Consider the following 20,781-nt stretch of genomic DNA (forward strand, 5'->3'; position numbering starts at 1 on the left):
CAGCCAGAGAAGCTGGTGGGGAGTGGGTAGGTGAGCACTCAGCCTCCCCAGCCTTGGGTAGGATGACTATGAGCATGCTCAGAGCCTCGTCCCAGAATGGGCTCCCAGCGGTCCCCAACTCAGACAGGTCCCCAGCACCTAGGTCAATGCCTGACTTCAATTAGGTTCTGAATAAGTGTTTGATGAATAAAATCAGCCCTGAAGTTGATCACAAATTCATTCAGTTATTCATGGATGCAATTAACATTTCTGGAAGATCTATCAGATTTCAGCCACTGTACTAGAGGCAACATCATATATTTGAGTCATCATTTTAAAGAGACTAAACCATAATATAGGAGATAATACATGCAAATACATAGTATAGTTATCTATCTTGGTGTAACAAATTACCCCAAAATTCAGCAGCTTAAAACAACCATTTATTATCTTACATACTTCCTCTGGGTCAGGATCCACATGTGGCTTGGCTGGAACCCTCTAGCTCAGGGTCTCCCATGGGGTTGTAGTTGGGCTGTCAGCTGGCACTGCATCATCTGAAGGCTGGGCTGGGGCAGGGGGTCCACTTCCAAGGCAGCCGCTCACATCGCCGGCAAGCTGGTGTTGGCTGCTAGGAGGAGGCTCAGCTCTTCTGTGGACCCCTCCATAGTCTGCACGCATTTGCTGACATGGATTCTAAGTAACTTGGGAAAAATGTCTACTCTCGGCTCTCAGCTTTGTTCTGTCACCCTCTTGGTACCTTGACTTCAGGAAGAAGTCAATAAGCAGTATCCCACAACTTTCCCTTGTTGATCACTCACTGGGAAGCTAAAAATCCCTTATGCACAAAGACAAGAATGTTAGAGATATGGAACCACTCAGCTCCACACTCCTGGGGAAGTTGGGATTTCCAGCAGAGCCAGGGAGAAGCCCTCCTATTTCCTCATTCTTGCCATACCAGCAGCCAATCACCTGGGTGCTAGCTTGGCCACCTGCCAGCTATTTGACTTTGGGGAGGTTATTTAGCGCTCTCTGCCTCAGTTTCCCCATGTGCAAACTGGGGATGATAATAGCACCCTGGGAAGCATCCCTGCTGCTCAGCGGTGTTCTGGTGTTCAGGTCTTTTTTGAAGCTATGGAGATACTAAAATCAAAAGGGTTCTTAGAATGAGATGCTCAGTTCCACTTGAATGAGGACTGGGGAAAGATGAACAGCGAGACTGATATGAGCTGAGTGGGGGCAGAGCTCAGGAAGTCTGGGTACCCAGAAGGCAGGGGGAGGGAAGGCAATGGAAAGAAGAGTGGCAAGCTAGCAGGCCGAGAGTGGCAGCTACTGAGGTACACTCCGGAGAGCAGACCACTTGCCTGGGCTGCTCAGTGGGTGGAGTGGTAGGCATGCTGGCCCATGGGGATCCTGGCAGGGGGTGGGTTCTGGGTGCAGCCACATAGATTTTTTGGGACAAGTGTGAAGTGGCTTGAGAATGCAGAAGGCATTCAAGTTTTAGGGTGGCTTTGGCGAAGCCTGAGGGAGTGTTGGTGTTCTTGCTCCAACATCCATCCAGGCACATCCATCATTGTACCTGGAAGATGCCGGAGGCTAGCATGGGCCTGTGGGCAGAGGACGATGGAGGGGGAGAGTCAGGAGCAGCATCCAGAGGAGGGATCACAGAGCACGCTCTTCTAAGCTGTCCCTTCTTCCCAGCAGTGTGAAGTCCCAGATCTGCCAATTTTTCAAGAGGTGCCCATATGTTAATTAATTATATTAATATTGATAACTACTTCATAGTTGAGATCTGCACTTGGCAAGCAGTGATGAGGCCTGTTTCATGCACTGCTTCTAGTCCTGACATTGCAATGCCCAGATAGGAGCAAGACACTTGAGCCTGTAGAGTTACAGAGCTTATGGGATGCCTCTGGCTCGCCTGCAGCCACCTCAGGTGACTAGCTTTAGGAAAAGACCAGACAATGCCTTGGGTCTAAATGAGAAGAAACCAGAAAGTCAGCAGCAAAGGCCCCACTTGGCAGAGGTGATAAATTCAGGTCCCAAAGCAGGAGCTCCTTGCTTTGTCCTACAAGTAAGTCACCCTGGGCCCATGGATTGATTGACACAAATATCCACAGGGCACTTTTTGTGTACCAGGCTCTGAACCAGACTTCTGGTGGTAGAGACAGATGAGTGACTACACATTCAAAATGCGTTGTGCTCAGTGGAGTAGACGTTTGCAGGACATGTGGTAGAACAGGGAGCAGCCCTGAAGGAGACTTGTTGGAGCATCAAGTTGCGAGAAACTGACCCCCAAACAGGTCTTTGAAAGGAGAATGGCAATTTGATATTAGGCAAGGAGGAAAAGGTCTTATCAGTGAGAGGATCAGTAAGCATGAAAGTTCCTGGATAAGCTTGGGAATTACCAAGTGTTGAGAATTCATGTGATGTTGAGGTAGAGGTGAAGCGATGATTCAATGTAGAAGGCTGAGGATGCTGCTGGCCAGATCACAGGGACTTCTTCTTGCCAAGAACAGAGAACTGTTGTGCAAATCAGTTGTGTAAACAAAACAAAAATGTCTGCAGGAGGAACAGAAAGCCAAATACCACATGTTCTCACTTATAAGTGGGAGCCCAACATTGGGTACTTATGGACATAAAGACTGGAAGGATAGACACTGTGGACTCCTAGAGGCAGGAGGGAAGGGAGGGAGCAAGGATTGAAAAACTATGCACTGGGGACTATACTCAGTACCTGGGGGAGGGGATCATTCATATCCCAAACCTCAGCATCACAAAATATACCCAGTAACAAACTTGTGCATGTACCACCTGAATGTAAAGTAAACGTTGAGATTATAAAAAAAAAAAAAATTCTGCAGGTACTGCCCTTAATCACTTTCACTTGTGTTAGAATTATTTAACTGAATGTTAAACTATTTTGTGTTTAAATAAAAATGTAATAACTACAGTTGACCGTTGAACAACATGACCCATGAACAAAAATTCTTTTTTTTTTATATTATTATACTTTAAGTTTTAGGGTACATGTGCACATTGTGCAGGTTAGTTACATACATATACATGTGCCATGCTGGTGTGCTGCACCCACTAACTCGTCATCTAGCATTAGGTATATCTCCCAGTGCTATCCCTCCCCCCTCCCCCTACCCCACAACAGTCCCCAGAGTGTGATGTTCCCCTTCCTGTGTCCATGTGATCTCATTGTTCAATTCCCACCTATGAGTGAGAATATGCGGTGTTTGGTTTTTTGTTCTTGCGATAGTTTACTGAGAATGATGACTTCCAGTTTCATCCATGTCCCTACAAAGGACATGAACTCATCATTTTTTATGGCTGCATAGTATTCCATGGTGTATATGTGCCACATTTTCTTAATCCAGTCTATCATTGTTGGACATTTGGCTTGGTTCCAAGTCTTTGCTATTGTGAATAATGCCACAATAAACATACGTGTGCATGTGTCTTTATAGCAGCATGATATATAGTCCTTTGGGTATATACCCAGTAATGGGATTGCTGGGTCAAATGGTATTTCTAGTTCTAGATCTCTGAGGAATCACCACACTGACTTCCACAATGGCTGAACTGGTTTACAGTCCCACCAACAGTGTAAAAGTGTTCCTATTTCTCCACATCCTCTCCAGCACCTGTTGTTTCCTGACTTTTTAATGATTGCCATTCTAACTGGTGTGAGATGGTATCTCATTGTGGTTTTGATTTGCATTTCTCTGATGGCCAGTGATGGTGAGCATTTTTTCATGTGTTTTTTGGCTGCATAAATGTCTTCTTTTGAGAAGTCTCTGTTCATGTCCTTCGCCCACTTTTGGATGGGGTTGTTTGTTTTTTTCTTGTAAATTTGTTTGAGTTCATTGTAGATTCTGGATATTAGCCCTTTGTCAGATGAGTAGGTTGCGAAAATTTTCTCCCATTTTGTAGGTTGCCTGTTCACTCTGATGGTAGTTTCTTTTGCTGTGCAGAAGCTCTTTAGTTTAATTAGATCCCATTTGTCAATTTTGGCTTTTGTTGCCATTGCTTTTGGTGTTTTAGACATGAAGTCCTTGCCCATGCCCATGTCCTGAATGGTAATGCCTAGCTTTTCTTCTAGGGTTTTTATGGGTTTAGGTCTAACGTTTAAGTCTTTAATGCATCTTGAATTGATTTTTGTATAAGGTGTAAGGAAGGGATCCAGTTTCAGCTTTCTACATATGGCTAGCCAGTTTTCCCAGCACCATTTATTAAATAGGGAATCCTTTCCCCATTGCTTGTTTTTCTCAGGTTTGTCAAAGATCAGATAGTTGTAGATATGCGGCGTTATTTCTGAGGGCTCTGTTCTGTTCCATTGATCTATATCTCTGTTTTGGTACCAGTACCATGCTGTTTTGGTTACTGTAGCCTGGTAGTATAGTTTGAAGTCAGGTAGTGTGATGCCTCCAGCTTTGTTCTTTTGGCTTAGGATTGACTTGGCGATGCGGGCTCTTTTTTGGTTCCATATGAACTTTAAAGTAGTTTTTTCCAATTCTGTGAAGAAAGGCATTGGTAGCTTGATGGGGATGGCATTGAATCTGTAAATTACCTTGGGCAGTATGGCCGTTTTCACGATATTGATTCTTCCTTTTCTCTCATGGGTAGAAAAATTCTTTTACACGGATTTTCAGTAGAGTTCCACTTTTACATGGATTTTCTTCTGCCTCTGCCACTCCTGAGACAGCAAGACCAATCCCTCCTCTTCCTCCTCCTCCTTAGCCTACTCAACGTGAATACAATGAAGATGAAGACCTTTATGATGATCCACTTTCTTGTAATGAACAGTAAATATATTTTTTCTTCCTTAAGATTATCTTATAACATTTTTTTCTAACTTACTTTATTGTAAAAATATTGCATATAATACATATGACATACAAAATATGGGGTAATTGATTATTTACATTATCAGTAAGGCTATGGTCAACAGTAGGCTATTAGCAAAGTTTTTGGAGAGTTAGAAGGTATATGTGGATTTTCAACTAAGCAGAGGGTCAGTGCTCCAACCCCCATGTTGCTCAAGGATCAATTACAATTTAAATAATACTATTAAATATATATTTAATAGCATACATTGTGTATACATATATATTTATATATCTGAAATATATACACACATTTGTAAGCATTCAAAAATAGATATCTTATATTTTGTTAATATTTTGTAACATAGTCATAAAATAAAAGGTGAAAAATATAGTATTCACGAGTTACACCTACACCTTGACCCTATTCCCCTGCTGTGTTCTCTCCTCGTTGGTGCATTTGATTGCAAAGCCAATTATTTGCCATGTTTTGCGGAGAGGAGAGAATGAAGATAAGACCCTCCCACAGCACTTCCTTTGGCCAAAACATGGTCACCAACATTTGGGAAATATTTTTGCTAGATCAAATCACAGTTTAAGTAAGTGCTAAATTTATTACTTTTCCATCACGTTCCTCTCTCAGAGTTTCCTCATGCATTCTGGAACCTGGGTGCAAACAGGCCAGAGTCAGAGTCTATGGGCTGGATGTGAGGAATGTTTCCAGAGTGGTGCACAGGTGGGGAGCAGCCCTGCTGAAGCCTCATCAACCCCCAAAGGCAGTGCTTGTCATGTCCCTACTGGGAAAGACTTAAATCCTGTCTCCTCAAAACACTAACAACCAAGGCTAAGCATAAGTGTGGTTTCCATTTCCATTAAAATGTACGTTTTTGCACCTGGCTATGTTAAGGCTCTGCCGTGTGGAATGTGATAGGCCCAGCTGAGCATGCTGTTCACCCGTGTCTGATAGCCTGGACAAGGAGACCAGTCACCTGGGGGTGACACATGGTGCATGGGTCTCCAAGCTGCTCATTCCCAGGACATCCATCTGGAGCAAATAAGCAATAATGATGTTAGGAAAGGAAGTCTTTCAGTAAGTGCCTCAGGAATTCTCAACAGGCCTCCACGAAGATAAGATTACAAACATGTATATCCATAAACACACATCACTGCTTAAAATTTTTCTCCCAGTAGAGAGCCTCAATAGTAGATGCATTTAGACAAATCTTTTCTGTGGGAATACACTACTTCTGCTCTGGAGAAATAAATATCAAATACAGTCTAATGAAACTGCATTAGGGAAACAAAGCATTAAGGAAAAGGAAAACCCAGGACAGAGAATAGATTTGGGGTTTGGGCTTTTCAGATGCAAAAGAGAGAGCCAGTCTCCTTTGAGGGGTATCTGTCTGGCATCTGCTTTATTTCATCCTGTTAGTGAGATTTGAAGGAATAGAAAAGTGATTTCATGTTAATAGGATTGGACAAGAGAGCATTATCTAGGATGGCATTTTCCTTAGATGAGGTTTTGGGTACTTCTTATTGCAGTCAGTTCATTTATATTTTAAACACCTGCAAGACTACAGTGAAATGAACTCCCTCTTAATCATCATTATGGAGAATGAATAAATACATGCATTTATCTTGCACCAGGTAATTGGCTGTGAAGCATTCTGTGATCCTTTCATTAGGGTGATGAGATCCAAAAATAGATGGCAAGTAGGTTTATTAGAAACTAACAGGCCCACCTGAGGTGTAAAAAAATCCTGTAAATGCAGTGGTTTGCAGCAATTGTGTGCATGTGTGTGTGCGTGTGTGTGCATGCATGTGGGTTTTGGAGGGAGCAGCAAGGTGGAAAAATGCAGGAACTACCTCATTCTTCTACCTGCCTTAGGTGCCCTTCTGTGAAATGAAGCGAAATGTTTAGAAAGAACGTATTTCAGTATTTTAAATATTGTTCCAGCCATACTTACATATGCTAGTCTCATATCTGTCCTATATAAGCACTCTGCAAATTTTAGAACACTATATAATTTCATAGGCTCTATAATGCTTTGATTAATTAACAATTAATACTTTAATTAGCACATTGTAGTCTGTAATATAAAATGTAATTATCCATAACAGTCAATCTTGCATCATTAAATTGACCTAACCAGAACAACGAAAAAGCAAATAAACAGTGTAATTCACCCTCTTTGGAAAATCCCTGAGAGGGTTTCTCCACTCCTTCCTCTAGTGTTCCAGTTTGAGATCCTGTTGAGTAGATCTAGTCTGTTTCCATGAGCTCCTCTTCCGCCAGCATTACCTGCCATATTGAAATGCTGCATCACTTCAGCTGAGGATTAGGCTTTGGCTAATTATAATGGTATATTCAGAGCTCTGACTTGGATCCTAGCAAGAGTGACAGTATGGAAGGCGGAATGTTGGTTCCCCATGATTCTGACCCTCCAATCTAGTGATACATCTGTGAATATGTCGAGATGGCAACAGAAAAAAATGAATACAGCCTGGGCGCGGTGACTCACACCTGTATTCCCAGAACTTTTGGAGGCTGAGACAGGAAGATCACTTGAGCCCAGGAGTTCGAGACTATCCTGAGCAACATGGCGCGACCTCGTTGCTACAAAAAATACAAAAATTAGCAGGGCATGTTGTCATGTGCCTGTAGGCCCGGTTGCTCAGGAGGCTTGAGGTGGGAGATCGCCTGAGCCCGGGAGATAGAGGCTGCTGTGAAACAAGACTGCACCACTGCACTCCAGCCTGGGTGACAGAGTGAGACTTTGTCTCCAAAAAGAAAAAAAAAAAAAGGAGAAGAATATAGAATTCAGTACTTGGAAGTGGTGTCCCGTTATAATAAATTCCTAAAAATGTGAACATAGATTTGGAATTGGGCAGTGAGCAGAGGCTGAAACCTTTTTGAGAAGCATGATAGAAAAGGCCTATATTGCCTTCCACAGACAGTAAAGATGCATATTTTAAGGGTTCTGGTAGTGAGAACTCAGAAGGAAGTAAAAGACTTGGTAGAGAAACCATAAATTCTCTTAGAGAGTAGCCATGTCACCACAAACATACTTGCAGTGAGCCAAGATCGCGCCCCTGCACTCCAGCCTGGGCGACAGAGCGAGACTCCATCTCAAAATAAAAAGAAATGCTATTGAAAACTAAAGAGAGGGGATCCATGTCATGTATTGGCAGAGAGCTTAGTAAAATTGTGCCCTGCAGTTATATGAAATGTATAACATACACAACAATCTTTGTCATTTAGCTGAAGACATTTCCAAACTAAGTGTTGAAGGCACAACCCAGACTCATCTTGTTGCCTATAATAAAACATGAGAAGAGAGAGATACATTCAGAAAATAACTGTTAAGCAAAAAGGAACCATGAGTGAATGATTTGGGAAGTGGCAGCCTATCCAAATAGCAAACACTGCTAAAATGGAGAAAATCACTGTCAGGAATGCATACTCTTGAGAAAAACTGAGAGTATGGTTTAACAAACTTTTGCTAGTGTCTCAAAAACATTAAAAAATTGACTTTATTTTTGATCATTCAGTGACACAAAAAGCTTTTGGAAGAGATTGAGAGTGTGTGAAATCAGTAATTTGAACAAATCAAGGAGGAAAAAGTTCAAAAAGTTAACATAATTGTGTCTATAAAAGTGTGGTGAATGAAGGTCGCAGAGCACAATGTTTGCCAAATAGAAAATTGTCTATTTAAGTCCAAGATCCAGACCTTTCAGCTGCCCTGGAATTGGTACCTTCCTTGTGTGCATAACACTATAATATTTTTTTAAACTATGTGAAAATGACGGAAACTAAAATTGAAGTAGAGCCTTCATGATTTCCGTTTGTCTTTGGTTTTCAGTTCTTTGAATACGGTGTGACTCTTTTTTTGGGTATTTATTCTGCTTGATATTTTCTGAGCTTCACGGGTCAGTGGTTTGGGGTCTGCCACTAATTTTGAAAAATCACAATTGCCCAATTTTTACTTCTTCAAATGTGTCTTCTTTCCTGCTCCATTTTTCAGCTCTTCTGGGATTCCAATCATCTGTATGTGAGAGTGATACTGTTGCACAGCTCTTGAAACACTTGTTTTGTTGGATTGTCTTTAGTATTTTTTACTCTTTGCGTTTCAGTTAGGGCAGTGTCTACCTCCCTAGCTTCAGTTTCAGGCACATGAATCTGGATCTTGGGAGTATGCCTTGCACAATTGTTACAGCCTCATCTCCACTTGGAATGTGATGTCTAGCAGTATTTCTGCTCCTCTATTTAGGGTAGAGCTTTATTTATTTTCTTGTTCCCCTCTCCCATCTGAGGTGGATTTTTATGAGAGCCTCAAGCTACAATTTTTCTTGCTGTTTCCCTTGCAGACTGGCTTTTGTATCATAGGGGAGATAGACGAGATATTTGTAGGTAGAATTTTATCAGTTGCAGCCCTCTCATTCCTTCGTCAGTATTATGAGGATGAGGAAAGCTTTCCCAGGAACCTCCCCAGTCATCCCCATGAGTACTTGGTGGGCTTCCTTGTTGGGTGTTGAGGGGGGACCTAACAGAGGGTAGCAACTACCGTGTGTCCGCAGCCCCCAGGCATCTCACATGCCTACAGTAGTACCCTAATGACTCTTATGGTATCTGTTATTGTCTGCCCCTGGTAAATAAATGTGAGGGTCCTGTTTCTCCCCCTGGTAGCCTGTGTCTCTGTACATTTTAGTTTAGTGGCTTGGCCTGAGTTCTCAGTTCTCTGATGGGTTAAGGAAATCATTCCTTGGTTGTTTGTTCAGCATTTTTGTTGTTGTTGTAAAGATGAGTGTGAGATTCCAGCTGCTATATCTTGAGGGTGAAACTGGAAGCAAGCATATTGCCTTTCCAGTCCTTACCATGATGCAGAAACTTTGCATCCATCCAAAGAGTCAAGATAGGGTATTAAGAGAAACCACCATCTCTGTTTATGTTATATTTGTTATGTAGAATAAGCATATCCAGTTTAATATGGAGAAAAATTAATAAATATAGTTTATCAAAAAATTAAAGGCACTCCAGTTTTGTTTTGTTTTTACTGTGCATTTCTTTCAGAAACTGCATTGTTAAAATTGGATGGTAAATCATATTTTATTCCTAGAAAGAATGCTACAATTGAGGCTGAGTACCCAAGTAATCATTTAGGATCAAATAAATCACAATCATAATGATACACTAACCACTCAACCTTAAATTTTTCTGACCATTTGAAATGGCTAAAGTAGGCTCCAATCCCCCATCCCAAGTAGTCATAAATATATTACCCACTCAATTTATTCTAGATTATTAAGGATATAAAATGATCTATGATGTACCACAGAGTTAACAGTAGAAATCTGAACTGTAACACAATTAAACCTGAATTTAATAAGATATATTAACTAATATATTAATGAACTATGATTTCTCTCAAAATTTAGAAAGACTTCTAATAAATAATTTGTAAAACTTAAACCTCTTTAGTGGTCTCATGAAGTTCAAACTGAGGTTTTCTTTTTCTTTTTTATAATGAGACAGAGTCTCACTCTGTCACCCAGGCTGGAGTGCCATGGTGTGTCTCGGCTCTCCACCCACTGGGTTCAAGTGATTCTCATGCCTCAGTCTCCCAAGTAGCCAAGTAGCTGGGATTGCAGTCACATGCCACCATGCACCACCATGCACCACCATGTCTGGCTAATTTTTGTATTTTTAGTAGAGATGGGGTTTCACCATGTTAGCTAGACAGGACTCAAACTCCTGGCCTCAAGTGATCCACTCGCCTTGGCCTCCCAAAATGCTGGGATTACAGGTGTGAGCCACCCCGCCTGGCTGAGCATTTCTTTATGTTGCTAAAAATGCCCTTAAAATAACATGACATACTTGATAACTATTTATTTATTTATTTTTTAGAGACAGAGTCTCCTTCTGTCACCCAGGCTGGAGTGTAGTGGCACAATCATAGGTCACAGGAGCCTCCAATCCCTGGGCTCAAATGAGCCTCCTGCCTCAGTGACCTGAGTATCTAGGACTACAGGCACTTACCACCATGCCCAGCTAATGTAACTTTTTGTAGAGACGAGATTTTGCTATGTTGCCCAGGCTGTTCTTGAACTCCTGGCCTCAAGTGATGCTCCTGCTTTGGCCTCCTGAACTGCTAGGATTATAGGTATGAGCCACCACACCTGGCCGTCAATACCATTGTTCAAAAAGTAGACTGCATTTTCCTGCAGCACCTCCTTGCATCATCAAAGTAAAGAAAGGTTGTGGATATTTATATACTAGGTTTCACAAAAATGGTAAATGAAGCACAGATTTCAAATCCAGGGAAGGTTGTATAGCTCATCTACAGAAGTTCCTGCAATCCTCATTAGGGTCAAACCATTTATTATTACTGCCTTGAGAGTTGGACTTTTATAGGCTGCTTGGGTCCTCTTGGTTCCCAAACTGCTCTGGTGAATGTGCCTGTTGGAATGCAGGTCAGGGGCTGCTGAGTTCTCCCATTCGTTTGCATCAGCTGCCCTGGAGCAAGTCACAGTGTTGGCTGTGCACCCAAACCTGGACCAGAGTCTTACAGAATGGTGGAGTGAGGGGGAAGGCAAATTCTCTCCCAAAAAGCAATGATAAAACTGAACAAAACTTTTGTCAAAAACATCCATTTCAGGACTCTGAAACTGGCCAGAGATGTACAACAAATTTATAAGAGTTTATTCAAGAAAGACTGCTTTCAAGTAATAGCAGTGGAAATTTGGGGTGTGTTAGCCTGGGATTTCTCCCTCTTTATGTTAAACTTGACAAAGACCCCAAAGAAACTGTCATATGTATGTTCAAAGAACTCAAGGAAAACTTTTAAGAAGGAAAGGAAATAGGAATGTATGAAGATCATGTTTTCTTACCAACTTTGTTCAGCAATATTTTGTGGCTTTCTATTAAGCCATATGACACAACTTTCCTATCTGATATTAACATAGAAACACTGGGTTTCTTGTGGTTAGTGTTTGCAAAGTGTATTTTTTCATTTTTTTTTTCTTTCAACATTTCTGTGTCCTTGAATTTAAATCAGGTCTCTTGAAAACACCATATCGTTGGGTCAGCTTACCCTGTTTTATGATGTATTTTTCAAGAAGTGCTTAATCTATTTCCTTTTAATGAAATTTTTGATGCAAATGAGTGTACATCAACCATCTTGCTATTTGGTCACGATTTGTGTCATCTGACATTTTATCCTTCATTAGTTAGTTTTCTGACTTTTCTGGATGATGTATTTTTATTACTGTCTTTTTCATTGAGTTTTTAGCTATATCTATATTTTTAAATATTTCTCTTGAAATTACAACATGACTTAAGAAATAGAACTTATTTTTTAGACCAGTTTTAGGTTCACAACAAAACTGAGCAGGAAATACAGAGTACCTATCTACCCCTCCTCCCCTATCTTCACCACAGGCACAATTCCCCCCTTTATCATTCTCCTGCACCTTAGTGGTATAGTTGTTATAATTGATGGCCCTACCTTGATGCGTCATCACCACTCCAAGTCATAGTTTACACTAGGGTTCGCTCTTGGCGCTGTATATTCTATAGGTTGCGAAAAATGCATAATGACATGTGCCCACTGTTGTAGTATCCTACGGAATGATTTCACTCCACTAAAAATGCTCTGTATTCTGCCAATTACAACATATATTCTTATTAAACATTTTGTCTTGAGATAATTCCCATGCAGCTCAATACTGAGATAGATTTATGTATATTTGTCAAAGATAATACAGAAAGATCCTGTGTACTCTTTACCTAGGTTCTCTCAAATACAATAATCTTGCAAAACTATACCATGGCAGCCAGGAAATTGACATTGATACAATCCACTGATCTTATTCCAGTTTCTTCAGTTTTATAGTACTCACTTAGGTGAGTTCAGGTGTGTGTATTCAGCTCTATGCAATTCTATTACATGTGTGGTTTTATGTATCCACCACTTCAGCCAAGATACAGAAGAGTGCCACCACAGGGATCCCTCACTTTGCCCTTTTATTACAATACTCACTTCCCTTCCACACTGATCCCATTTCTAATCCTGGCAATCACTAATCTGTTCTCTGCCTCAGTTATTTTTTTAAAATCTCAATAATGCTATATAAATGGAATCATACAGTATGTAACATTTTTGAATTGGCTTTTTTCTTCACTCACTGTAACTCTCTGGAGATTTATCTAAATTGTCACATATATCAATAGTTTCTTCTTTTTTATTGCTGAATATTATTCCATGGTATTCACATATCACATTTTTTTAAAGCCACAGACCTACTGAAGGACATTGCTTCCTAGATTTTGTTTTTCTTGTTATTATGAATAAAGTTGCTAAAAACACTTGTGTACTGATTTTTATGTGAACCTCAGTTATCGTTTCCCTGGAATAAATGCCCAAGAGTGCAATTGCTGGATCGTATACTAATTGTATAGTTATTGTATAAGAAGCTGCCAAACTGTTTCCTAGAGTGACTGTACTAATTTACAGTCCTTCCAACAATGAGTAACTGATTCAGTTTTTCTGCATGCTTGCCAGCATTTTATGCTGTCACATTTTTGTTTTAGCCATTCTGATAGCTATACAGTGATATCTCATTGTGGTTTTAATTTGCATTCCTCTGGTAAACAATGAAACTAAACATTTTTATGTGCTTATTTGCCATCTGTATATTCTTTTCAGTGAAATGTCTATTGATATATTTGGCTTATTTCTAACTGGATTTTTGCTTTTTTACTGTTGTGTTTCGAGAATTCTTTACATGGTCTACAGGGTAATACTTTTTTGAGTATGTGTTTTGTAAATACTTTCTCACAGTATGTAGTCTGCATTTTCATTGTTTTTACAGGGTCTTGTGCAGAGTAAAAGTTTTTAATTTTGATGAGGTCCAGTTTTTATCTTTTTTTCCTTTAAAGGATCGTGCTTTTTGTGCCTAAAAAGTCTTTCCTAGCCCTAGATCTCAAACACCCCTCCTGCTTTTTTTTCTAAAAGTTATACAGTTATAAATTTAAGTCTGTGATCCATTTTGAGGTTTTTCTTTTTATATATAAGGTGTGAGGTTTTGGTTGAGATTCCAATTGCTCCAAAAGATCTACTTCTTCCATTGAGTTGCTTTTGCCTTTATGTCAAAAATCATTTCAGGATATTTATATGGGTCTATTTATGAGTTCACTATTTTGTACCACTGATTTACATGTTTGCTTCTTTACCAATACTACACTTTCTCCATTACTGTAGCTATGTAGTAAGTCTTAGTATTGGGTACAGTGTTTTCTGTCACTTTATTCTTATCTTCCAAGATTATTTTTTGTCTACTCTAGGGTCCCTGCTTGTCCATATAATCTTTAGAATAAACTTGTCAACATCTACAAAAACTTGCTTAGATTTTGGAGGGAATTATATTAAACCTATAGGTCAATTTGGAGAGAAAGTGTACTCACCATGTTGAGTCTTTAAATGAACATAGTACCTCTCTCCACTTATTTAGGTCTCTGATTTCTTTCATTAGTATTTTGTCATGTTCAGCATTCAGATACTGTACACTTTTTGTTGGGTTTATATCTAAGTACTTCATTTTCTTTGGAGTAGTTGTAAATGGTATTGTGTTTTTAATTTTGGTTTCTGCATACTCATTTTTAGTATATAGAAATATTGAGAGGTGAAGTCAGCTGGACTTCCTGGGTCGAGTGGCGACTTGGAGATTTTTTGTGTCTAGCTGAAGGATTTTAAATGCACCAATCAGCACTCTGTAAAAACGCACCAATCAGTGCTCTGTGTCTAGCTAAAGGATTGCAAACACACCAATTAGCACTCTGTAAAATGGACCAATCAGCACTCTGTAAAATGGACCAATTAGCGCTCTGTAAAATGGACCAATCAGCAGGACGTGGGCGGGGTCAAATAAGGGAATAAAAGCTGGCCACCCCCAGCCAGCAGCAGCAACGCGCTGGGGTCCTCTTCTGTCCCGTGCGTAGTTTGTTATTTCGCTCTTCACGATAAATCTTGCTACTGCTCACGCTTTGGGTCCGCACCACCTTTAAGAGCTGTAACACTCCGTGAGGAGGTCCACGGCTTCGTTTTTGAAGTTAGTGAGACCACGAACCCACTGTCAGGCAGAAACATCTGAAGGAACAAACTTCGGACATAACATCTTTAAGAGCTGTAACACTCACTGTGAAGGTAGGCGTGGCTTCATTCCTGAAGTCAGCGAGACAAAGAACCATCCGGAAGGAACCAACTCTGGGCACAATGTGATTAATATTTTTTGTGTTGATGTTGTATTCTGTTACTTTGCTGAAGTGACTTTTAGTTCTAGACCTTTATTTTTGTATATTCCTTGGAATATTCTATGAAGATGATCATGTCATCTGCAATTGGAGGTAGCCTTATCTTTTCCTTTCTCTTCTGCATGTTTTTGCTTTTCTCTCCTTGCATTATTGCAGCAGATAAAACTTCCAATATTATGTTAAATACAAGTGTTGAGAGGCGGAATCCTTGTTTTGCTCCTGATCTTAGAAAGAAAACATTCGGTTTATCACCATTAAGTACAATGTCAGCTGTAGGATTTTGTAGGTGTTTTTTATCGAGGTCACTTAGTTCTTCTGTATTCCTAATTTAGGGAGTTTCTAGCATGTGTCAGTACTAAATTTTGTCAAATTCATTTTTGTGTCATTTCCTTCTTTAGCCTGTTAGCATGGTGGATTACATTAATTGATTGCAAATGTCAAACCCACCTTACATTCCTGGAATGAATCACACTTGATCACTATTTAAAAATGTTTTTGTACATTTTTGTATTTAATTTGCTAATATTTTGTTGATGGCTTTTGTGTCAAAGTTTATGAAAAACGTTTGTCTATATTTTTCTTCTTTGGTACTGTTTCTGTCTTGTTTTGGTATCCGCCTTATAAAATGAAGTATGAAGTGTTCCTTTCTCTTCTATTTTCTAGAAGAAATTGTGTAAAATTTCGTCAGTTCTTTAAATATTTGGTAGAATTCTCCAGGGAAATGAAGTGGAGCTGCAAGTTGTTTTTTAGGAGCTTTTAAATTATGAATTCCATTTTTAAATAGTTTTCTTTACTAGAACCACTTAGATTATCTGTTTCGTGTTGGTTGCATTTTGGTAATTTTTGGTTTTTGAGCAACTGATTCATTTTTTCTACATTGTCAAATTTATGAGCATAAAGTTGATTATAATATTCCCTTTCTGCCATTTTAATGGCTGTGGGCTTTGTGGTTAGTTTCATTACTGATACTGTTGATTTGTGTCTCTTCTGTTTTAATTTTGCCAGTCTTGCTAGAGTGACATTGATATTTTTGAAGAAGCAGCTTTTTGTTTTATTTTTTCTACTTTCCTGTTTTCCGTTTAGTTGATTTCTGCTCTCACCTTTATGATTTCCTTCTGCTTGCTTTGGGTTTCTTTGGCTAATCTTTTTCTAGTTTTTTGAGGGGAAAAACTTACTGTTTTGAGTCCTTTCTTCTTTTCTAACATAAACGTTTAGGGTTATAAGATCCCCCTCAGCTCTGCATTAGCTACATCCCACATATTTTGATCTATTGTCTTTTTATTCTTATTCAATTCTATGTGTACTTTTTGAAATTTCCTTGGATCTCCTTCTTGACCATAGACTATTTAAAGGTGTATTATTTAATTTCAGAGTATCTAGAGATTTTTTTCTGTTGTCTCTCTAGGTCATGTACTTTTAACTTATCACAATCTATTTGTGAATAGTATTGTGAAACTTCATTAAAAAAGTGTAAGAAACTTACAACAGTGTAATTCTATTTTCCCCTCAATCTGGAGTTGAGCTGGTTTTGGTCTGGGTTGTAGATTTAATTAATTTCAGTTTACCACAGGTTTCATATATTTCAAAGGTAGCAGCCAGGGCCCTCCTTTCATTAGGAATAGAGAGCTAAGACTCTGAGGTCTCCCTAAGCTTTCTCGCTCATTTCCAGCTTCCCGTACCTTGGAAGAAATCCATGTTGCAGCCTGCCCTGGCTTCCGACTCCACAGGACCTCTCCTTCTGTCTGCCATCCTACCCTGTCCCAGGTGCCCAGCCATCACTCTGTATTTGAGATGAAATGTCTGAACGAAAAGATTTATGGGGCACGTAGATGAGTGTACTTTGGGGGCGCTTCTGGGTTTGAATCCATCACGCCTGGCCTACAGGGTCCTTCTAGATTTCTTTGGTTTCTTTTTGTCTCAGCCAAGAGCCGAGTCCTCCCTGCTTATGGCTGGCTTGTTCTTCCCACCACACCCCAGAGATAAAAGCAGTTGCAGGTTTTTATTGCTTTGGACAGGCTCGTCCCTCCCTTGAATGTTGTGCGTTTAGACTTCTATGCATTTTCAGGTCTCTACTGATTGTCACGTGTGATGATTGGAATAAATCAAGATTTCCTCATTGTTATATTGCGAGCAACAGCTTTTTACAACCTTTTACACTCTAACAAGAAGCAGAGCTCCCACTATTCTGTTTAACCAGCAAAACCTCTCAGCAACCTCATCTGTCACCCATGGCCTTGGAGTTTGGGAGCTAATGGTTTGGTTTCCAACATGTTTGAAAAAAATGTCATAATGCCTCCCCCATAATTTTGTCACAAATCGTATCTGTCTTTTCCAAAGTGCTACTCTCAGAAAAAGATACCTCTATCTCACAGATACAAAAATTCGGGGAAATCTTAGTTATTCCAACAGGTTGAGTAATTCTACTTTTCTCATTCAAGGCTGGAATTGGACACCTATTAATATTAGACCCTCATGTAAGTGGTACCTAAATTCTCACCTCTCCATACATGAATAAGGTCACAACTTTAACTGCTATGTCTTGCTTCAGAAGTTGGGCTAAGTAGGACTTCCTTTAAGTTAAGCACTATTCTGAGCACTTCAACAGACCGAGTCTTTTATAAGACTTACCTATCAACAACCTTATAAGGCAAGTATCATTATAATCCCCCTTTCAATGCATAGATACCTTGAGTGATGTGGCTAACGACCCATGGTTAGAAACCGAAGACAGGAAGTGTAGAGTCAAAGACAATGATCTGGCCGAGCACAGTGGCTCATGCCTGTAATCCCAGCACTTTGGGAGGCCAAGGTAGGTGGATCACCTGAGGTCAGGAGTTCGAGACCAGCCTGGCCAACATGGTGAAACCCCGTCTCTACTAAAAATACAAAAATTAGCCGAGTGTGGTGGTGCATGCTTGTAGTCCCAGCTACTTGGGGTGCCGAGGTAGGAGAATTGCTCGAACCCGGGAGGCAGAAGTTGCACTGCAGTCCAGCCTGGGCGACAGAGTATATGCCATCTGAAAAATAAAATAATCAAAAAGACAATGATCTTTTCTTTTCCTCTAAGCTATATTGCCATGCACAGTCTGTGCCTCATTACCATTGGGTCATAATGTCTATGGCTGAGCCAATGATGCCTAATTTAATCATTTTGAGGAGTATGGTCAAGTCAGTTGCAGTCACAAAGAGAACACCTCTGGTTTGTACCATTTTTTTATTTGTTTGCTTTGGTTCAGAATTCTGTTTTTTAAAATGATTTCTTTTACTCTTACTATTATTTTATTACTGTTACTTTAAAAATTGTCATTACCCCATCCTATCTCCTTATCTACCCAAAGCTAACCTTGACATTGGTGTGGGGAAGACTTAACTTTTTGTGAAAAGTGTTTGCTGCCCTTCTTGAGGCTCATGCCTGTAATCCCAGCACTTTGGGAGGCCGAGGTGGGCGGATCACGAGGTCAGGAAATCGAGACCATCCTGGCTGACATGGTGAAACCTCGTCTCTACTGAAAATACAAAAAATTAGCCGGGCGTGGTGGCGGGTGCCTGTAGTCCCAGCTACTTGGGAGGCTGAGGCAGGAGAATGGCGTGAACCTGGGAGGTGGAGCTTGCAGTGAGCCGAGATCGCACCACTGCACTCTAGCCTGGGCGACAGCGAAACTCTGTCTCAAAAAAAAAAAAAGAAGAAAAGTATTTGCTTCCCTTTCCTGGGGGAGGAGTAGTTTCTCCACCTTGCTGCCATTAGGATTGGCTGTGTGAATTGCTTTGGCCAGGGAAATGTGGGCATAAATGATCCTTGTCCCTTTCAGCAGAAGTAGTTTCACTTTTTCTTTTCCGTGTGCCATGAGCCTGGCAAACTCTGAGAGTGTCTGCTTTATCTACCAGATTCCAGAGTGAAGAGGATTTGGTGCCATGGTGTGGCTGATGGATATGTAACATAATAGGATGGGAAAAAAAGCGAGGGGGCAGGGGTGTGGAGCATTATTTGTTATTGCAGCATAACTTAGCCTTTACTTATAAAGGGTGCCCTGCCAAGACATGTTTTTATGATTTTACTAAACGTGTTATATAAAATATATCTCTAAACCATATGTGAATTGGTTCTCAAAGTGTGATCCCTGGATCACAAAAGGGTGAAAGCAAGATAAAATGGTTTCAGTCTTTTGGGGGGAAATAAGATAAAATATATTTACATAATAATACTAAGACATTATATGAAATTTTTTTACTCTCATTCTTTCATGAGGATACAGTGGAGCTACCTAAAGGTGTAAATGCTCTGATGCCTAAGGAAATGAATACTTGCATTCTTGTGTTTCAAAACTTTTTTAGCTTTAATTTCTTATATAGAAAAAATTAATAAATGCAACCCAAATGAAATAAATCTCTTTGGAACTTCAATAATTTTAGGAGAGTAAGAGATTCCTAAAACCGAAAAAGAGAAACATTGATGTAGTTTGCTGTTTAGTATATTTATAAATTTTACTTAAGTGATATTTGGTGACTTGCTTTTTAAATTCAACATTCCGTTGAGGTCTATCCCGATAGGTCTTTTCCTGTAGCCTGCACGTTGTTGGAAATGCCTCATAGAGTAACTCTGTGATTTTACTTTACTTACAGGACTATTGTTACATCTGTGGGAAGGAACCACAAGACAGTTGCTGAAGTATGAAAAAGACAGTTACTAAACTGTCTTTAGTTCAGTAACTGTCTTAGTAAAGACCTGATAATTTACTTTTTTACCTTAGGTATTGGCATATTCCACACATCTGTACTATTCTTGAATTTGATCACTTAGGAACGAATATGATTGGAACTCATTCATGTTTAGAGAGGGTGTCAAATTGAGAACCAGGCAGATCCACCTACACTAAAAATGACCCTAAAGTAAATTGGTGGAAGAAATCAGATCCCAAAGACTACTGGTGAATTTTGAAGTCTTCGTCAGTATATCCATATTAAAAGGAGATGACAGAAGCCAAAATAAAAGAATTATGGGTTGACAGGACAACTGGATTAAAATAAATGTCAGTTTCATTTGAAAGGGCTAACTTGAAGGTAATTTTTGAAAATAAATTTTGACTCCAGCTCTTCAGAGGATCTAAAGTGACCTTGATGGGCAGTGGAAGAAATCAAAACATGAAATTCCTTGAATAAAAATTTATTGACTTTACAAAATAAGTAAATAAATGAATTCAACCTTCTCTCGCTAAGTTAGTGTATGAAAGTGGGTACACATTAGACTGAGCTCATTCCTTTCAGCTGTTTATACTGTTATAAAATAGTTTCAAAAAGCGGAAAATACCTGCTCTTCAAAGTTTTTGGAGCATGTGACTTTATAAAGCATATGCATTTGATCACCTTCCCAAATGCCTTTCTTGTGCCAATGAATAATACATTTGCTTCACAATTGAAGTAATATACCCTCCTGCTCTGCTTCCTATCCTATTGCCAAATTCAGTGACTGAATGGGCATTTTCATATTCAGTCCCCTAACTATGACCTCTCGATTTTACAGAGAAGCTTAATCCCGGTTAGTCTCATTCTCTCACTGGGGATTCTCTGTTTCCTTGAGGGGCCTCTGAGATGAGAACAGCTTTGCAAGGACTGGGAACCTGTGATGAGCATAGTGTTGGAAACACTTGAGGCCTTTGTTCT

At 39.8% G+C, this 20,781-nt stretch overlaps 1 non-coding gene across 1 annotated transcript; it reads left to right on the forward strand.

Annotated features, from left to right (window-relative positions):
- The first annotated feature begins 19,651 nt into the window (after positions 1–19,651).
- Positions 19,652–19,783, forward strand: LOC124900362 (small nucleolar RNA SNORA18). The gene has a single exon (XR_007064812.1). It is a non-coding gene; the product is annotated as a small nucleolar RNA SNORA18 (small nucleolar RNA).
- The last annotated feature ends 998 nt before the right edge of the window (positions 19,784–20,781 follow it).

This window comes from Homo sapiens, chromosome 15 (genome assembly GCF_000001405.40).
Source record: "Homo sapiens chromosome 15, GRCh38.p14 Primary Assembly".
In the NCBI taxonomy this organism is placed as follows: domain Eukaryota; kingdom Metazoa; phylum Chordata; class Mammalia; order Primates; family Hominidae; genus Homo; species Homo sapiens.